Source organism: Homo sapiens, chromosome 11 (assembly GCF_000001405.40).
Source record: "Homo sapiens chromosome 11, GRCh38.p14 Primary Assembly".
NCBI classification, from domain to species: Eukaryota; Metazoa; Chordata; class Mammalia; order Primates; family Hominidae; genus Homo; species Homo sapiens.
In genome coordinates this window covers 3,822,309-3,841,126 of record NC_000011.10, presented here as the reverse complement: position 1 = coordinate 3,841,126, position 18,818 = coordinate 3,822,309, and the positions used below count along the sequence as shown (strand labels likewise).

General features: G+C 51.8%; 2 protein-coding genes and 1 long non-coding RNA gene across 68 annotated transcripts in view, besides 2 other annotated features; 1 reads left to right on the top strand and 2 right to left on the bottom strand.

Moving 5' to 3' along the window:
• Positions 38-427: a silencer, noted in NCBI's record as "silent region_3085". NCBI's record gives its function as "represses an Ori minimal core promoter by ATAC-STARR-seq in GM12878 lymphoblastoid cells {active_cell/tissue: GM12878}" and the evidence as "EXISTENCE:reporter gene assay evidence [ECO:0000049][PMID:35858748]".
• On the top strand, positions 168-14,149 carry RHOG (ras homolog family member G). Of its 2 annotated transcripts, none has more exons than NM_001665.4 (2): positions 168-233; positions 12,921-14,149. In NM_001665.4, exon 2 carries the CDS (start codon positions 12,989-12,991, stop codon positions 13,562-13,564), a length of 576 nt encoding a protein of 191 aa, NP_001656.2. In that variant the 5' UTR covers positions 168-233; positions 12,921-12,988; the 3' UTR covers positions 13,565-14,149. The 2 variants fall into 2 exon arrangements, with proteins under 2 accessions (NP_001656.2, XP_005252973.1); XM_005252916.3 differs by having other exon boundaries at positions 168-559.
• Positions 1,828-2,027: an enhancer, noted in NCBI's record as "active region_4310". NCBI's record gives its function as "activates an Ori minimal core promoter by ATAC-STARR-seq in GM12878 lymphoblastoid cells {active_cell/tissue: GM12878}" and the evidence as "EXISTENCE:reporter gene assay evidence [ECO:0000049][PMID:35858748]".
• On the bottom strand, positions 2,852-3,850 carry LOC124902619 (uncharacterized). Its single transcript, XR_007062560.1, has 2 exons — positions 3,435-3,850; positions 2,852-3,060 (listed from the first exon to the last, which is right to left on the bottom strand). It is a non-coding gene; the product is annotated as an uncharacterized LOC124902619 (long non-coding RNA).
• Positions 14,756-18,818, bottom strand: part of PGAP2 (post-GPI attachment to proteins 2) — a 28,652-nt gene continuing 24,589 nt past the window's right edge. For 14 of the 65 annotated variants that reach the window (NR_045923.2, NR_027016.3, XM_047426786.1 and 11 more), the window contains 4 exons: positions 16,992-17,244; positions 16,751-16,857; positions 15,999-16,107; positions 14,756-15,799 (listed from right to left, as the gene is read on the bottom strand). Coding sequence is in view for 50 of the 65 variants with exons in the window: in XM_047426786.1 (XP_047282742.1) it covers positions 15,669-15,799; positions 15,999-16,107; positions 16,751-16,857; positions 16,992-17,244 (600 nt within the window). In the remaining 15 variants the exon portion in view is untranslated. Of the gene's footprint in view, positions 15,800-15,998; positions 16,392-16,671; positions 16,858-16,991; positions 17,245-17,386; positions 17,515-18,133; positions 18,219-18,818 lie in introns of those variants that run through there. The other 51 variants (NM_001256235.2, XM_011519992.2, XM_011519996.2 and 48 more) reach the window with 19 other exon arrangements.

Below are 18,818 nucleotides of genomic sequence, written 5' to 3'. Positions count from 1 at the left end.
ACTGGGAGGGGAACGTGGCAAGCCCGGGACTGGGCCGGGGGCGAGGCTGGGGGCGGGCCGGGGCTGGAGAGGGGGAGATCGGCCCTCGGACTTCCTGGTCGGGCCCCGCCCCGGCCCGCCCCGCCTCGCCGGCCCGCCCCCCCCACTTCCTCCGGCCTCCCGCTCTCACTTCCTTCTCGAGCCCGGAGCCGCTGCCGCCGCCCCCAGCTCCCCCGCCTCGGGGAGGGCACCAGGTGAGGCCCGGCCGGGGCTGGCGGGTAGGGGTCCGGGGGAGGAGAGCCCGGCCGGCCCAGGACTCGGCGCGGGCGCCGGCTCATGAGTTTGCTGGCGGAGGCCGCGGGCGGGAGCTTCTCGGTTCAGTCCAAGTAGGGCGGGCGCGGCCGGCCGGGCGGGGCGGGAACGGGGCCACTGCGAGCCGGCGGAGGCTCGGCGAGGGTGGCTTCCCGGCGGCTGTACCGCCTCTAGGGAGCCGAGAGGGACCCCTGAGGTCGGAGGGTCCCGGGCTCCAAGATAAGTGTCTCTGAAGTGGAAGAGCTCAGAGCTGGGAGATCGGACGCAGGTGGGGTGTCCTCAGAAGTTGGTGGGGGGGGTGTTGAGAAGTGCGTGAGGGGAGAGGGCTTCTGGGCTGGAAAAGGCGCTCCCTCTGCTCTGGCAGTTGTGACACTTGGGGTGAGAGGGGCGGTGTCTGGGGCCTCCGAAAGCTCTCTCCCTGTCAGATGGATGCTAATACAGACCCACACTCGGTCTGCAGCCCCAAGGCCCTCTGCACTCAGGAGGACCCGGGTTGGGTGGGGGAGCCCCGCCGACCCCAGTCGTTGTCTGTATGTCTGTTTTCCTGAGTCCCGACCTTACCTGGAGCCAAGCAGTAGGTATTTAGTGAGCAGACGCTGTTCCTAGCTGACCAGAGCCTGGCCTTGCTCTTTTGGGAGTAACTTGGTCTTGCCCTGTAACTGGAAGTGGAAGGACTCTCATTCAGAGGTACTGATAGTCCCTGACAAGTTTTTGTTGTGTCTTTTGGGGACAATTGAGAACCATCTCCTAGTGTTCCTCTTCATTCTTAGTCCCTGAATTATACACATGCTCCTGTCGTCTCCCTCCACACCTTCTTTAGTTTCTACCCACAAATCCGCCATCACTCTCTTCTCATCCCTTCCAGTCTCTTTTCCTCCAAACATACGGTCATACCTAGGCCTTGACCTGTCTTCACCTACCCTGCCCCATGTTCGTCTTGGTCCTCTGCAACCTGCCCCATCCCTTCCCTTCCCAGCTCTGGCACCCACACACATGCACCTCCTGGTTTCTTCCATCACCCCTCATTCCTTTTGAACCCTCAGCCTGTCACCCTCTCTGTATCCTTCCCTCCCACCCACTTATCTCCAGCTTTGGAATCAGTTGTTGAAGACTTAGTGAGTTCTAGAGTCTTTTCAAACCTCCCTAGCTTGGAGAGGCAGTCTGCAGCCTCCCAGTGATAGAGACGGATTAAAGAGCTGGAAAGCCTGTGTGTGTGTGTGTGTGTGTGTGTGTTTGCGTGTGTGTTCGCACGCGCGTGTCTGTGTATCTACATCTTCATCTCTTAGAGATGGATTAAAGAGATGGAAAGCCTGTGTGTGTGTGTGTGTGTGTGTGTGTGTGTGTGTGTGTTCGCGCGCGCGTGTCTGTGTGACTACATCTTTATCTCTTACAGACAAAATAACTGCCCTCAGCCTTGAGAGGGCCCAGAGCAAGGGAAGCCAGCAGAATGAAGGGAACCTGCAGTGAGTGAGGTTGTGGTTAGGCAGGAGGAAGCCGTTTGTAGCAGTCAGGGTAGGGTGACACAGGAATAAGACTTGTAAGAGAGGCCGTGGGAAATCAAAATCACCCCAACCCGTGGTGCTTGACCAAGAGGCCAGGCCTAGAAGCCGGAAGACAGCCTGAAGGTCCCTGACTCCATTACCTACTAGTTCCAGCATCACCTGGTGGAAAGAATGGGACCAGCTTGGGTGTGATGGAAATAAAGGGAGGAGGCAAATGCAGGATTCTGGAGGAAAGACTGCAGCTGGTCTAACTTCGGACTTAAGAAGCGGCGGAGGCAAAAGTGTCTGCTCCTTTCCTGCTACCTTCTGGGGCCTGCCTAGGCTGGGTACCCGCATGCCCTGATCTGCATCAGGGCCTTAGTGACCAGGAAGCCCTCTGGAGTTCTACTGACCCCTCTGCCTTCAGGCATCCTTAATACTCCCCATCTCACCTAGGACCCTATTCCTTCTCAGGAATTCCTCCCAAATTTAACTTCAGTCCATCCTGGCTATGGAGGCTCTTGTTTCCACTCTAGAGCTCCATCCTCAAGCTTTTGGGGTGCATCTGAGGATCTTGCTCCTGTCTACCTCCTCTAGTCATCTGTATTCATTTCTCTCCACTAGAAAAAAAGAGAAGTAGAGGGGAGTAAGTGCTACAGCTAAATTTAAGGGCTCTCCCTGTTCCCCATTCTGTCATCTTCCCATGTCACAGTCGTCCCTCTCCCATGAATTGTTCTTCTTCCAGTCCTGCCCTTCCAACCACTTGTCTCTCTTCCCATTTCTTGGAGGTACAGAAGTTTGGGTCCGGGAAGAAATCCCAGGGACCTACATAAGAGCCCAGGTTAGAGAAGGATGTGCATACAAGGCACTTTCCCAGCATCACAGCTTAATAAAAACCCCAGGAGTCCCAGTTCCTAGGCTGGCAAACCAGTAGTTACTTTAGTATTCTGCGTAACTGAGCAAACCCACAGGGCTCTGATGGTAAAGACAAGATGGGTGAGACAGGGATTCTCCCAGGTGAGATCTGGCCCCATTGGAAGTTTGAGCTAATTGCAAAAAAGGCATCATTGGAAAAAATGTGACCAGGGCGGGAGAGATTTTAATGGGAAAATATTGGGGGGTAAAGGGAGGTGGTGGCTACAACCTAGGAGGCTGCCGCTGAAGTCTTGGCTAAACAGGTATGGTCAAGGTTGTGACATGAAGAAGGGGGCTCAGGCCCACACTGAAGACTCCTTCTATATACTGTAGACCCATTAGTGGTGAGGTCAGTAGGGGTCCGTGACAAGAGCTGAGGAGGGAAACCAAAGACAAAGCCTGGGCCACCTCCCCAGATCAGACTGGTTTTCCTGTCCAGGGTCCAGCTTCCTCTTTTGTCCTCATCTCATATGGGGGGAGGGCATCTCTCCAGGAGCTAGAGGCCAGAGGAGGAGCTTCTCAGCTAGGGCAGGGCCAGAGTGGCTGGCTATTGAGTAATGTCAGTGCTAAATCATGAATGCACCAGGATGGGCTAGGCATGAGAGCCTGGGAACTTGGAAGCAAAAAGGCTCAGATGTAAGTCAACCCACCCTTTGGCCCATTTTCTGAAGGAATAAACCATGGTAGCGTTCTCCTGAATGAGGTTAAAGAGATGGCCCATTCTCAGGCCAGAGTTAGAATCCTCACCTTCTCTCCTTTGTAGAAGTAGCATAAGGGTGGAGGCTAGAAGATCCGGATCCTTGTCGTAGATTTGCTACCTGGTCAACTTGGTTTCTCTTGGCTCTATTTTAGCATTAAGGAGTTGCATATCAGTACCTCCAAAGGCAACAGTGAACATCATGGCTCTGACTCTTCCTCCCCCAAGAGACTGCTCATAGCAGTGCCCCTCACTCTGGGCCCTTGTGTCTTACCAGCCTCAATTTGACAGGTCCGAGTAGTCTGTACATACATATCTGTCCAGGGATAGTACTGCCCTTTCCCCAAGCACAAGGACTGTTAGAGCTTGAGAGATAAGAAGGCAGAGAATGTTGGGGATTTTGCCAGGGGGTAGTAAGATGGGGGAGTACCCTGTCTCCTACTCCAGCTCTGCCTCACTGACAGTGGAAAATAGATGCCGGAGTTTCCTCCCTGGTGTTATTTTCCCTTGTGGAAACCCCCTCAGGCCTCGGGCGGGGCTAAAGGGACTGGGCAGCCCTGGGTCTCTCTGTGGGTATTTTCAGGTGGGGGTGCCAGGATTTGCAGGATGGCACTTCTGTACAGCCTCATGTGAAATTAGCAAAGGCAAAGGAAGTGCCACTTCACAGGCCTTTGGTGGGGCCCAGGGACTGCTGAGCTGCTGCTAGGCGGGGAGGAGGAAGCCAGTGTGCACCCTTCCTCTGTGCTGCGTGGGGGAGGGGGCAGCTTCCTTGGCTCCCCCAGCCAGAGCTGTCCTGGTCCTGAGGCTCAGCTTTTTTTTTTTTTTTTTTTTTTTTTTTTTGAGATGGAGTCTTGCTCTGTCACCCAGGCTGGAGTGCAATGGCGCGATCTCAGCTCACCACAACCTCCACCTCCCGGGTTCAAGCCATTCTCCTGTGTCAGCCTCCCAGGTAGCGGGGACTACCGGCATGCACCACCAGGCCCAGCTAATTTTTTTTGTATTTTTTAGTAGAGATGGGGTTTCACCATGCTGGCCAGGCTGGTCTCGAATTCCTGACCTCAAGTGATCTGCCAGCCTCAGCCTCCCAAAGTGCTGGGATTACAGATGTGAGCCACCATGCCCAGCTGAGGCTCACCTTTTATGGAACACTTAGGGTGCTGGGACAGTGAGGGAAGAAGGTTGGGAACTAGGACTTAGTGAAAGGGTCCTAGACTGCCCCCAGCCTTCCCAGCTACCACTGTCTCGTTTCCTAGTGGGTGGCATCAACTCTTCTCTTTTCCTACCTGCTGCTGCAATGTAGGATCCTCTCCAAAGGCTGAAGGATGAATGACAAGAGGTGGAGAGTCCTCCAGCATGGATTTTTTCTTTCTTTTTTTTTTTTTTTTGGAGATGGAGTCTTGCTCTGTGGCCCAGGCTGGAATGCAGTAGCATGATCTCTGCTCACTGCAACCTCTGCCTCCTGGGTTCAAGTGATTGTCCTCCCTCAGCCTCCTGAGTAGCTGGGATTACAGGCGTAATCCCACCACTACGCCCAGCTAATTTTTGTATTTTTAGTAGAGACGGGGTTTCACCATGTTGGCCAGGCTGGTTTCGAACTCCTGATCTCAAGTGGTCTGCCTGCCTTGGCCTCCCAAAGTGCTGGGATTACAGACGTGAGCCACGGCACCCGGGGGATTTTTTTTTTTTTTTTAAGGCTAGGAACTGGGCTCTCTTGGGTTCTTCCCTGCTGATGGGGAGAAAGGGAAGAAAGAGACTCAGCCCTTGGCCTGGTCCCAGTCCCACACTGACCTCATGTCTCCCCCAGCTTCCTCCTCCCAGCCCAGCTGCAGCCAGCTGCAGCCCCTTTGAGCCTCTTTATATCACCTCTCCTCTATTCCTCCCTTCAAAACAAACAAACAAACAAACTTGTAGAGCTTTGGAAGTGTTTCCAACAGTGCCCCTGTCCCTTGCCATGTCTTTGACCAAGGGTCCTCGGATATTCCCAGTCTGTAGCCTGTCGGGACCACTTTTCCTTCCCATCTTCCTCATCATCTCTGAGCTAGATCTGCCAGCTTCACCTCTCACCCTTCCAGTTGAAGACAAGACAGTATAGCTTATGTGTTTATTACCCCAACTTTGGGCTCTTCAGGGTGAATGAGAAAGAAGTTGGTTACTTATGTCTTGTGTCTTCTGGTCCTAGAGGTTCTTCCTTGTTCCCAGCATCAGAGTCTGTGGATTGATGGGGGAGGAGGGGTATGTCATTCTACAGCTTTTGCTCAGCCCTTCCCTGGGCTTCTGGAAATAAACAGAAGGTCAGACTACCCTCCCCCTGAAGCATCCAGTTAGTTCAGCACAATGAAAAGTACGGTCAATGCTGGGAAAGGTAAGGCAGAAGAGGGGGTTGCTGTGATGTCCTGGAGAAGCTGGGGAACAGTACTGGGCCTGAAGGACAGGAAGGATCTGAAGGGGGGTGAGTCGCATTCCAGGAAGAGGAACTCCCATATGCAAAGACATGATTGCATCGACTTCATTCAGTCATTTACTGACAGCTACTACATGGTGTGCTCAGCTTAGGGTGCTCAGCAAGGTCCAGTCAACCAGGACCTTGCCCTCTAGACACTCCCATTCTAATAACAAGAGATAAGATTCACATCAGCCTCTCCAAGCCTGTGAGAGAGACAGGGACCAGACTTTGGATAGGATAAGTCACTTCTGACTTGGATAATTTACGCTTTCCTGGAAGAGGCAGCAATGGTGCATGGTTCCATATTACTACTTGGTGTATTTTACGGAAGAGAATATGGAGGCCCCTTTGTAGAGGATCAGGATTGGAATGGCCAGAGATGGATTGTAGTTATAATGAGGTTCAGGGAGGGCTGCAGAAAGGGAGCCCCATGTTAGGGAGGCAGGTTATAGAAGGCTGAGGTAAGTTCCCATCACCTCCATACTCGCCTATCTTTTAAGAGTCCGTTCCTCCCCTCCCCCACTCCCAGTTGGGACACTTCCCCTGCTGTAACAGCCACAGAGATCTGGCAATCAGGCTGCTTCCTTTCCCTCCCCCATTCTGGGCCTGCCTGGGCCACACCCCAAGGCCAGGCCCCACTGGGTACAAGCCGGGCTCCAGGGACCACATTCAGATAGGGTTAGACCCCCATGGGCTATACTTCCTGCCGGAGCCAGGTCAGCCTGGTACTGGGAAGAGAGATTTTTGCCTATTTCAGGCATAGCTTTTGCCTGTCATTGCTGTCCGATGAGATTCAGCATTGCAGTCTTGTCTGTTGGGGGGTGGGCAGGGAGTGTCCGATACTGGGCTTCAGAGAAGTCTCTCCATATCTCAGTGATGAGGGCTGGTACAAGCAGATCAAAAGGCAATGGTTGTACAGTCCTGTGTGCCTAGCCCTATACTTAGAGGTTTTTTTTTGTCATTTAGTCCAGAGAAGCCAAGGCTTCAGTACTGAAGGGCATGTACAGCTGGGAAACTTACGTATGACTGTTGGAAAAGGAGAATCACACAGAGCCAAAGCAGGGTTAAAAGGGGTGGCCATGGGTGCAGTGGCTTACTCCTGTAATCCCAGCACTTTCAGAGGCCAAGGCAGGTGGATCACTTGAGGCCAGGTGTTCAAGACCAGCCTGGCCAACATGATGAAATCCTGTCTCTACTAAAAATACAAAAATTAGCTGGGCATGATGGCACATGCATGTAATCCCAATAACTCAGGAGGCTGAGGCAGGAGAATCACTTGAACCCGGGAGGTGGAGATTGCAGTGAGCTGAGATCGCGACACTGCACTCTAACCTGGGCGACAGGTAGCCATGCAATGGATATCCAAAGAAGAATTCAGTAACCTTATGCAACTGTGAGACTTAAGTTAGGCCTTAAGGAGTAAGGAAGATTAGAGAAGGGAGAGGGAATGGCAGCAGAGGGAAAAACAAAGAGTAAAAGTTCAGAGGCAAGAATGATCCTGGCTTGTTTGCAGAGGACATTGAAAATCCCTCTGGAACAGGGAGCTGGGAACTCACACTTGCAAAGTACCTACATTGTGCACATATTATACATTAATGCACTTAGTCCTTATAACAGTGCTATGTGGTAGGTACTGTACGTTGCCACTGCATTTGAAAGATAAGGAAATTGAAGCTTAGAGAGGCAAATCATCAGAAGCTCAGGGTCACACAGCTGGTAAGAGGCAGAACTAGGATTCAAACCCAAGTCTACGTAACTCTAATATCCCTTATCAAATTGTGAAGAACTCTGAATGCCAGTATGAGGGACCAGGCATGATCTGAATTGGGACTAAAAAGCCAGAATAAGTCATTGTAATTTGTCTAATAACATACAGATCTGGCCAGGCATGGTGGCCCACGCCCATAATCCCAGCACTTTGGGAGGGCTAGTCAGGAGGATCACTTGAGACCAGGAGTTCAAGACCAGCCTGGGCAACATGGCAAGACCCTGTCTCTACAAACAAACAAAAAGATGCATTAAAAATACAAAAATTAGCCAGGTGTGGTGGTGCCTGCCTGTAGTCCCAGCTACTCAGGAGGCTGAGGTAGGATGCCTTGAGCCTGGGAGGTTGAGACTACAGTGAGCTGTGATGGCACCACTGCATTTCAGCCTGGGCAACAGAACAAGACCTTGCTCCAAAAGAAAAAACAAAACAAAACAGATTGGCAACCATTGATTTACTAAATAACTTTTTTTTTTTTTGAGACATGGGGTCTTGCTGTGTTGCTCAGGCTGGAGTGCAGTGGCTACTCACAGGGACGATAACCTTGACTAGTGTACACACTACAACCCTTCACTCCTGGGCCCAGCCTCCCTAGTAGCTGGGACTGCAGGTGCACCACTGAGCTGGGCTTAATGATTCTTTTGAAAAAGCCACTTAGTGAATAAGTCATTGTTGAACCCCGCTCCAGATAGGTCACACTCCTGGTTTGGTGTCCTGCAGCACTGACATCCCTTCTTCCTGTTTGGCACAGTTTAGACTCTATATGCCCTCCTGAAATGGGCTATGGTAACTTATTCAACCCAGTTCAGGCCAGAGGATTTCAGAAAGAAGAGTTGTTTTGGGAGAGAGGATAAAGGTCTGAACTAGACCTGAGTAGGGAGGACTGGGCTGATCCCCTACCACAGATACAGGCATACTCAGTGCTTCCTGCCTTCTGGGATGAAAGGCTTTGCTCCTGTCACCTCCTGTGTGTACAGCACTTCAGTTTACAAAGTGTATTCATTCCCATGGTCAGGTTCCTTGATGCTGCCCTTGAGGCTGGGAGGGGTACTATTATTACTTCTACTGTACAGATAAAGAAACAGAGGCTCCAGGAAGGGCAGTAACTTACCTGATCAAGGTCACACAGTTAGCTGGTAAGGGGTAACTTGAAGACTGTATGATGCACCAAGGAAAACACAGGACTTTGGGTCACAAAACTGGGTTTGTGTTCTGGCTCCCACACTAACTAGCTGTGTGATGTTGAGTTACTTTTACTGTTCTGAATTTGTTTCCTCATCTGTAGAATAGGCATAGTACTAACAGGTTGTTATAAAGGTCAAATGACATAATAACATGTGACCTATAAAGGCTTATACCATATGAGGGCTTTTTTATCAAGGGTCAAGGTCGGCAGATAAACTCAAGACATCAGAGTCAGGTATCCAGTACTCTTGGCCCTATACCACACTGCCTTTGCTCTGCTTGTTTCTGGACACTACCATACTCATCATCCTTTTCCAGTGTCGGTCCTCGTTCCCTTCCCAGCCCGGAAGCTACGCTGTCCTTCCCCTCTCCTTTGAGAGCTGATTTACTGATTGCTAGTTGATAACCACCTCTTTAGAGAGCTGTACTTCCAGTCTCTTGGGCCTTGTGACAGCCAGCCGGAGTTCCCTCCTTGCCTTCCTGCCTGGGCCAGCCCAGTGCTGGGCTTTTCAGTCATACTGTCAACACCCACTCTCCTGCTCTGTGTGGAACTGAAGATTACAGGCCCAGGAGTTCTGCTTTGAATGTCAAGGCTTCCCACGTAATCCGCTGGGCACAAATAATGCCCCCTGCCTCCAAGGAGCTTTAAGTCTTAGTTCATCCACCTAGTGCTCTTGTAACAACCATTTTAATCTCTAATTCCTGGATAGGAAAACTGAGGCCCAGCAAGCGTAAATGCCTCATGCTTGGTTATAGTGAGTCAGCAGAGCTGGGGTTAGAACTTAGGTCTCTCAACTTCCAGTCTGAGGTCTCTATTTGACTCTCCACTGGCCTAGAGGGTCCTTATGCCCTTCCCTGACCCACTGTCTGAGGGTCTCTATCTGAATGTCCTGACGTTGCATGCACACGTGCACGCGCACAAACACACACACACACTCTCTCTCATTCATGCAAATAGGATGGAAATATTTTTTAATGTGAACCAGAGACACAACTTCATAGAGTGAAACCATTCCTCTCCCAGCTGATTCCAAGGCAAACTGTAGCCTGGGAGGGAGGTGGGACCAAGCCCTGGGTCCTTTGCAGCCCCCACATGACGAAAGTTTCTTTTCCACTTCCCAGTGGGGATTTTCTTCCCCACTTGTCATTGATTTTTGAAGCTTCTGAACCAGTGGTGAGAGCCCAGGCTGGGGGGGTAAGGGGTTCCCAGACCAGGGTGCAGCCTTGCAGTATAGCAAGTGAAATGGAGAAAATGGGCTAGTGTTGATGGTGCTTGGGTGGAGCCAGGGATAAGGAATACTCAGGGATTTGGTTGTGTTTAAAACAGGGCTGCCCCCTCTCAGGGAGCAGGCCCTGGTTGTGGGAGACAGTCAGGGAAAGGAAGTCACATATTGACCACCAAGAGTCCCCCATGGCCAAGAGGAAGTAGCTGATGAGAGAAGGATCCTTGCCATAGCAGTGTAAATAATCACAGGGTTTCTGGAAGCTGTGTTCCAGAACTCAGAAAAGCAGTTCATCTCCCCGAGGCCCTGTGACCTGCAGAGGTAACCAGATGTTGGCTGGAGCTGGGACTCCTCATACTTACCCCACTCATAAATACAGCAGTCCATTTATTGGGCACTTGCTATGTGCCATACCTCATGCTGGACATCTTCTATACATTATTAACTCTTACTTTTTATTTTTTTTTTTTTGAGACAGGGTCTTGCTCTGTCGCACAGGCTGGAGTGCAGTGGTGTGATCATAGCCCACTGCAGCCTTGACCACCCTGGGATCAAGTGATGCTCCCACCTCAGCCTCCCGAGTAGCTGGGACTACAGGTGTGTACCACCACACCCTGGTAATTTTTTCATTTTTTGTAGAGTCAGGGTTTTGCCATGTTGCCCAGGCTAGTCTCAAACTCCTGGGCTCAAGCGATCTACCTGCCTCATTCTCCCAAAGTGCTAAGATTACAGGCATGAGTCACCGTGCCTGGCCTCATTTCATATTCTGAGCAATTGTAATGCAATAGGCAAGATTATCCCCATTTTACAGATGAGAAAATTGAGGCTCAGGGAACAAATATATTGCCAAGATCACATATAACTAGTTGGTGGAGCTGTGATTAGAATACCTGCGAGTCTTACTCTAGCATCTATGTTCTTAATGATGGTATTTTCTATCCAAGAGTCTGGAAGTCTCTAAAATCTTTCAGAGGCACATGCCAGGATCTCAGGAAATGGACAGAAGATTGAGGGGAAAGTCAAGTTTTTGTCTTACTCTTGACTTCATCCTTCCTAGTTGGGCCTGAAAGATTTGCTCCAGGCCGGGCATGGTGGCTCATGCCTGTAATCCCAGCACTTTTTGGAAGGCCAAGGCGGGCAGATCACAAGGTCAGGAGTTCAAGACTAGCCTGACTAACATGGTGAAACCCCGTCTCTACTAAAAATACAAAAATTAGCTGGACGTGGTGGCATGCGCCTGTAATCCCAGCCACTCGGGAGGGTGAGGCAGGAGAATCGCTTGAACCCGGGAGGTGGAGGTTGCAGTGAGTCAAGATTGCGCCACTACACTCCAGCCTGGGCGACAGAGCAAGACTCCGTCTCAAAAAAGAAAAAAATTTGCTCCACCCCACCAAGGGCCTTGAGAGAAGATACTAATGTCTGGGAGCCTCAGCCTCTACCTCATTCATCATAACATACCCAGACCCCAGTCCAAATCCCAGGTCCAACTGAATCTCCAGTATTCCCCTGCATTGAATTGGCAATCTGAGTGTACATGGCCAGATAGGGTTTTCAGTACTTACAAGAATGATGGGGTGGCCAGGTGTGGTGGTTCACGCCTGTAATCCCAGCACTTTGGAAGGCTGAGGCAGGTAGATCACCTGAGGTCAGGAGCTTGAGACCAGCATGGCTAACACGGCGAAACTCCATCTCTACTAAAAATATAAAAATTAGCCGGATGCAGTGGCACCTGCCTGTAGTCCCAGCCACTCGGGAGGCTGAGGCAGGAGACACTTGAACCCAGGAGGCGGAGGTTGCAGTGAGCTGAGATCACGCCACTGCACTCCAGCCTGGACGACAGAGTGAGACTCCATCTCAAAAAAAAAAAAAAAAAAAAATTTCCCCATTGCCAGAATACCCTGGATTGGGATAGGGCAGCTCTCTAAAGAATTGAGCCCCTTACTCAGCAGGTTTCTTAACTGTGCCTTTGGGTTTGTACTCAGTAGCCAAGATACCAGGTTTGGAGAGGGCAGGGTGGGCCCTGAGTTGAGAGAGGTTCTACTTATGGCTGCATCACAGAGTGACCTGGGACAGCTGTCCTGTGCCAAAACACTTTCCAGTCTCCTGGTGGAAAGGGTCCATATTTAGTAGAGGATCTAGTAGATCCCTAAATTTGTGCACTCTCCTTTTGTGTCTGTATAGCCTGGAAAAAAAAAATAGCTAATACTGGCCAGGCGCAGTGGCTCACGCCTGTAATCCCAGCACTTTAGGAGGCCAAGGCGGGCGGATCACGAGGTCAGGAGATCGAGACCATCCTGGCCAACACGGTGAAACCCCATCTCTACTAAAAATACAAAAAATTAGCCGGGCGTGGTGGTGGGTGCCTGTAGTCCCAGCTACTCGAGAGGCTGAGGCAGAATGGCGTGAACCCAGGAGGCGGAGCTTGCAGTAAGCCGAGATGACGCCACTGCACTCCAGCCTGGGTGACAGAGTGAGACTCTGTCTCAAAAAAAAAAAAAAAAAAATAGCTAATACTTGTGGACGAGGCACTGTTTTAAATGCTTTACATGTATTATATAATGCTCACAATGACCCAGTGAGGTAGATATTATTTTATCCTCATTTTACTGGTAAGAAAACTTAGGCATACAGAGGTTAAGCAATTTTTTCAGGGTTACACAGCTAGGAAATAGCAAAATCAGGATTTGACCTTAGTTTGTCTGGCGCCAGAGTTTATGTGCTTTCTACCACATTATACTGCCTCTTTGCTTGGCCTCAGGGCCTTTCATTGTGTGTCTTTCTGATGACCGTCTTGATGGGACTTTGGGATAGTGTCAGGTTAAGGGAACAGGAGCCGGTTTCCCTTTGTGTGCCCCCATCTTTTCTTCCCAATAGGCAGAGGCCTCCCTAACCAAGAATGTCCCCTTTCATCTGTCCACAGGTCACTGCAGCCAGAGGGGTCCAGAAGAGAGAGGAGGCACTGCCTCCACTACAGCAACTGCACCCACGATGCAGAGCATCAAGTGCGTGGTGGTGGGTGATGGGGCTGTGGGCAAGACGTGCCTGCTCATCTGCTACACAACTAACGCTTTCCCCAAAGAGTACATCCCCACCGTGTTCGACAATTACAGCGCGCAGAGCGCAGTTGACGGGCGCACAGTGAACCTGAACCTGTGGGACACTGCGGGCCAGGAGGAGTATGACCGCCTCCGTACACTCTCCTACCCTCAGACCAACGTTTTCGTCATCTGTTTCTCCATTGCCAGTCCGCCGTCCTATGAGAACGTGCGGCACAAGTGGCATCCAGAGGTGTGCCACCACTGCCCTGATGTGCCCATCCTGCTGGTGGGCACCAAGAAGGACCTGAGAGCCCAGCCTGACACCCTACGGCGCCTCAAGGAGCAGGGCCAGGCGCCCATCACACCGCAGCAGGGCCAGGCACTGGCCAAGCAGATCCACGCTGTGCGCTACCTCGAATGCTCAGCCCTGCAACAGGATGGTGTCAAGGAAGTGTTCGCCGAGGCTGTCCGGGCTGTGCTCAACCCCACGCCGATCAAGCGTGGGCGGTCCTGCATCCTCTTGTGACCCTGGCACTTGGCTTGGAGGCTGCCCCTGCCCTCCCCCCACCAGTTGTGCCTTGGTGCCTTGTCCGCCTCAGCTGTGCCTTAAGGACTAATTCTGGCACCCCTTTCCAGGGGGTTCCCTGAATGCCTTTTTCTCTGAGTGCCTTTTTCTCCTTAAGGAGGCCTGCAGAGAAAGGGGCTTTGGGCTCTGCCCCCCTCTGCTTGGGAACACTGGGTATTCTCATGAGCTCATCCAAGCCAAGGTTGGACCCCTCCCCAAGAGGCCAACCCAGTGCCCCCTCCCATTTTCCGCTACTGACCAGTTCATCCAGCTTTCCACACAGTTGTTGCTGCCTATTGTGGTGCCGCCTCAGGTTAGGGGCTCTCAGCCATCTCTAACCTCTGCCCTCGCTGCTCTTGGAATTGCGCCCCCAAGATGCTCTCTCCCTTCTCCAATGAGGGAGCCACAGAATCCTGAGAAGGTGAATGTGCCCTAACCTGCTCCTCTGTGCCTAGGCCTTACGCATTTGCTGACTGACTCAGCCCCCATGCTTCTGGGGACCTTTCCTACCCCCATCAGCATCAATAAAACCTCCTGTCTCCAGTGGCCCCGGCTCCTCCCTGTGTGCTGGGCATTAGCGGGTGGGCATGGGCTAGGGCTCCCCAGAGACTGGGAGCCTTTTGTTTCTTCTAGTAGACAATAGGCTTCATTGTGGTCCCCTCACCCCTCAATTTCCCTAACAAAGCTCTAGGCTCCCTTGGAGGGGGCAGTCTTGCTCTGGGGCCCAGTCACAGATGCTGTAGTGGACTCAGACACAAAACCTGAGGAAAGACTTCTTGATCTTAGGGCTCAGAAAGGGAGAGGTTCAGAGCCATTAGTCTAAAGGCAGATGCTCCCACAGTCATGCATGTGACAGCTGTACCTCACATCCCCAAGAGGACAGCTTTAACAACAAGAGTTGGAATTTGAACCCAGGTCTCTGTCTCAACTGAAGACTTCCAGGTACCCTAGCTTGCAGTCCTAGAATCATTACAGATAGCTCACTCACTCCTGCTCACCAAAATAAAGGCTTAGACCAGCTTTAGGAGACTCCAGACCTAAGGGGGACTGGGGGGTTCTGCTAGGAATCATACCCTGCCGTGGACTTACTCCCTCCCCATTCTTGAGCCTGTTTCTCTCCCAGTTCCTATCAAACAAGATGAGCCCCAAGACTAGCAAGCCTAGGCAACTGTTGGCCCAAAAAAAAAATTTATTTTCCTTTCAAATAAAATGTACAACCAAAATTTAGGGTTTGGAGCAGTAGGGAAGACAGGAGATACCAGGGAGCCCATTTTACAGTAGAGATCTGCATCTGACCCCTCTATCCCATACCTTTGCAAAGGAGGGGAGGGGTCTACAAGCCAGAACTTTCAGAAGAGAAGAAAATACATGCTGTGCTGGTGCTGTTTCTGGAGCAGGTCATCCTTTAGGTATAGAACACCACCTCCACCCGATGACATCAGAACCACTGACTGGTAGAGTCCTTGGAAATCATACAGTCCACCCATCCCCCGCCAGACACATGGACACACCGAGGCTCAGATGGGGAAGGGTACATACCCTAGGGCACACACCAAATCAAAAAGGTGAAGTCAGGACTAGAACACCTGAGCAACTTTAGCAGGGGACTGTGGCCACAGGCCTGGATGTGCACAGTAGATCATGAAATACATTAGTCCTATGAATGACCCCCGTGCAGAGAAATGGCTGTGGTTGTCAGGGAGCAGCCACTGCTCAGGGGCTCCTGACCTCAGTGAAAGGTGACTGTGTAAAGGCCAGAAACTGGATGGTGGTCATGAACCTCAGGACGTTTTTTTTTTTAGCACCAAATGGTGGAGCTCTCTGCCAGCTCAGCTTCTTGGGGCCTCTCAGGTAAAGGTGATGTTTGAGGACCCCACGCCCATATGAGGGGTGGAGAGGAGAAGCCAGCAGCACTGGGGTGAGCCTTGGCCTACACCCTTCCTTCTTACCCTTCCCCCATCTTCAGTAAGGCCAAGAGAGGATGTGGGGTGGGGAAGGCCAGAATGGTATCGTGTTTCTTGTTTCTGGGCAGTGGGCTGCGTCCTCCCAAGCAGGACTGAAGGGTTCAGAATCGCTTTTCCTCAGGCTGAGAGGTTATGAGCAGCTCCTTGTTCCCGAAGTCCCACCAGGCCGTCATGTGGAACGCCATGTTGGTTAAGACAACAGTGTACTCCAGGATGGCAAAGATGGTGTACACTGTTGTGAGGACACAAGGAACAGGACATGGTGAACTTCCAGCTACCCGCTCAGAGGCCTCTTGATAAATCACACCACCATTGGTCTGCCACAGAGAACACAATGGCAGCCAGTCCCCAAGACCATTGCCCATTATCAAAAACATCATTGCTGCCCCGCAGCCACTCATGACCGCCTGTGGATCCTATCCTGGCCTCACCTCCAGCCTCACAATACATGTTGTGCCGAAAGTAGACAGCCAGCGCCGAGAAGAAGGAGATGAAGTTGATGATGAAGAGCCGCTGTTTCCAGCTGTAGGACTTGCGATCCTAGGGAATGGGCTGTCTGATCACTCTGCAGCTTGCTGGGTATGAGAGCGTGGGCTCCCCTCTCAGCCCTAACTCCTAAGGGCTGGGCCTTATCTCCCTTGGCTCCCACTAGCGGTCATGGAAGGGAGCACAGGCAGGGGCAGCAAGAATGACGACTATGTGTTCACGTCCCTGCCTCTGGGGGAGTGATGGGCCGAGGAGCAGTGGTATTCCTGCCGCTTCCACTTCAGGGGGATGGAGTATGAAAGTTACATGGAGTCACCCACCAACCCCACCTCCAAATACTGTGGGGGAAAAGAAACCCATGTACATGGGTGGGGCGCTGGAATTATGACAGACCAGTCCTCTGACACTGTTCCTAACTCACTGCCGCCTAGATGCGACTCCTCATTCTATCCCCATTTGCAGCCTCCATCTCTTCTATTCTCCAGTCTCCCACACTACCCAAACACAGTGCTATAGTCCTAGATTCTGACCAACCACCCTCAGTTTGTTCCCAAGCCCCAGCCCCAACCCCAGCACCCCTCTGCCAGGGTTCCCATTAGAACTCAGTTCCCACCTCACCATTACCCGAATCCTGAGGACAGATGTCCTTGATTTTCTTCTGGGCTGCCTTGGAGCCCCCGCTAGGGATAGACCGTACCTCCTGACTTACTGTGTGCTTCTTGGTCAACCGCCAGAGAATGCAGGTGAGGAGCATGTGCCCGAGGGATGAGGCAATGAACACAATGAAAGCATTTTCGTGGATGGCTGGAGGGAAAGAGGATTGGGAGCCACATTGCAGGGAGTGCCCACACCACGAAGTAGGAAGGTCCGAATGTGGTAGGGGCAGGCCCGTCCCCTCAGGGAACACTTCCCCACTCCTCCCTCATCCAGGCACCCACTGAAGTCCTCGGAGGAGGAGACATAAGTGAGCACTAGCAACGCGAGGTTCTCCACGACATTGAGGCCGAAGTTGAGGCGGCAGAGCGGGCGATAGCAGGAACACGGGGAGGTGCAGCTGAGGTAGTGGTTCCAGTAGGCGAAGGCCACCAAGAAGCGAGGCGCCGAGTGCAGGCCGATGCAGAAACGCCACACGTAGCGCTGGGGCACCTCCCCGCCGATGGCTGAGCTCACCGAGGGCAGGTAATTGGGCACCTAGAGAGTTGTGACCTGTCTGGGCATCTGCCTCTGCCAGCCCCGCCCATGTGGAGAACCTTCTCTCCATCTGACAAAATCACTCTTGCCTCTGCTCCAGCCCCTCCCCTTCCAAGAAGTCCTCCTTCAGATGTCCCCATACCTCTCCCAAAAGACCTCTCCTTCCAGGTCCTAGGCCCAAAGTGCTGGATTCTCATTCCCCAGCTATCCTGGGATTTGTGCAGCAGCATGGTGGCACCTTCTCCATCTCCCCCGCAGACTGGAACCTGCCTGTGTTTGGTCAATGTGTAGATGGGTTCAGATGCTCTACACCCATAGCTCAGAGCTGTGCCTCCACTAAGACCCTGGGTGAGTTCCAAGGCCTCAGATTCAGTCCAGAGGACAGGGATGAGTCACAGACCATCTGAGCTTCCTTAGAACAGTGCTGGATTCACTGCTCAGCTAAGATGTTCCTCAGTCTGCTCCCAGCGCCACTCACTCCTCTAGGCAGGTGTGCCAAGGTGGTAGAATGGCACCCCTGCTCTGATCATGATTAACAAAGTGGGTGGGCTGGGCACGATGGCTCACATCTGTAATCCCAGCACTTTGGGAGGCCGAGGTGGGTGGATCACCCGAGGTCAGGAGTTAAAGACCAGCCTGGCCAACATGGCAAAACTCTGTCCCTACTTAAAAAAAAAAAATTAGCCAGGCGTGGTGGCCAGCGCCCGTAGTCCCAGCTACTCAGGAGGCTGATCAGAAGAACTGTGTGAACCTGGGAAGCGGAGCTTGCAGTGAGCCGAGATTGTGCCACTGCACTCCAGCTTGGGCAACAGAGTGAGACTCTGTCTCAAAAAAAAAAAAAAAAAAAAAAAAAAAAAAGAAAAGAAAAAAGAAAGTGGGTGCTCCTAACCTGGGGTAGTCTAAGGAAATGACCATGTTCTTGTGCATCTCCACCATCCATCTTAATGCCTGGAACTCCTATTGAAGCTTCAGTCCTTAAGGAAAAAGGAGAAGATAATACACAGCTGCAGGGACTGGTGTCTTGCTTGTTTGAGAGGTGAAAGGATGGGGGATGACTGAACAAGGGTTTAGATGGGGACAGGAAAGCCAAAGATGGGAAGAGGCTCTCTTAGACTCCAGGGCCTAGAGCAGTGCTTCACAAACTTTAATTACCCATACAACTCACTGGGGGAATTGTTTGAAAATGCAGAAGGCTTGGAACCTGAGGATCTGCATTTTTTAATTTTTTAATTTTGTTTTCCCCCTTTTTGAGACAGGGTCTCACTCTGTCGCCTAGGCTGGAGTGCAATAGCATGATCATGACTCACTGCAGCCTTGACCTCCTGGGCTCAGGTGATCCTCTCACTTCAGCCTCCTGAGTAGCAGGCTAATTTTTGTAGAGACAGGGTTTCGTCATGTGTCCCATGCTGGTCTCAAACTCCTGGGTTTAAGCTATCCATCTGCCTTGGCCTCCCAAAGTGCTGGCACTACAGGCATGAGCCACCTCGCTTGGCCAGAATCTGCTTTTTTTTCTCTTTTTGAGACGGAGTCTCACACTGTCGCCTAGGCTGGAGTGCAGTGGCGCGATCTTGGCT

What these genes read in the sequence shown, in the direction of transcription:
- RHOG (NM_001665.4), top strand. Translation starts at nt 12,989, where the DNA reads ATGCAGAGCATCAAGTGCGTGGTGGTGGGTGATGGGGCTGTGGGCAAG.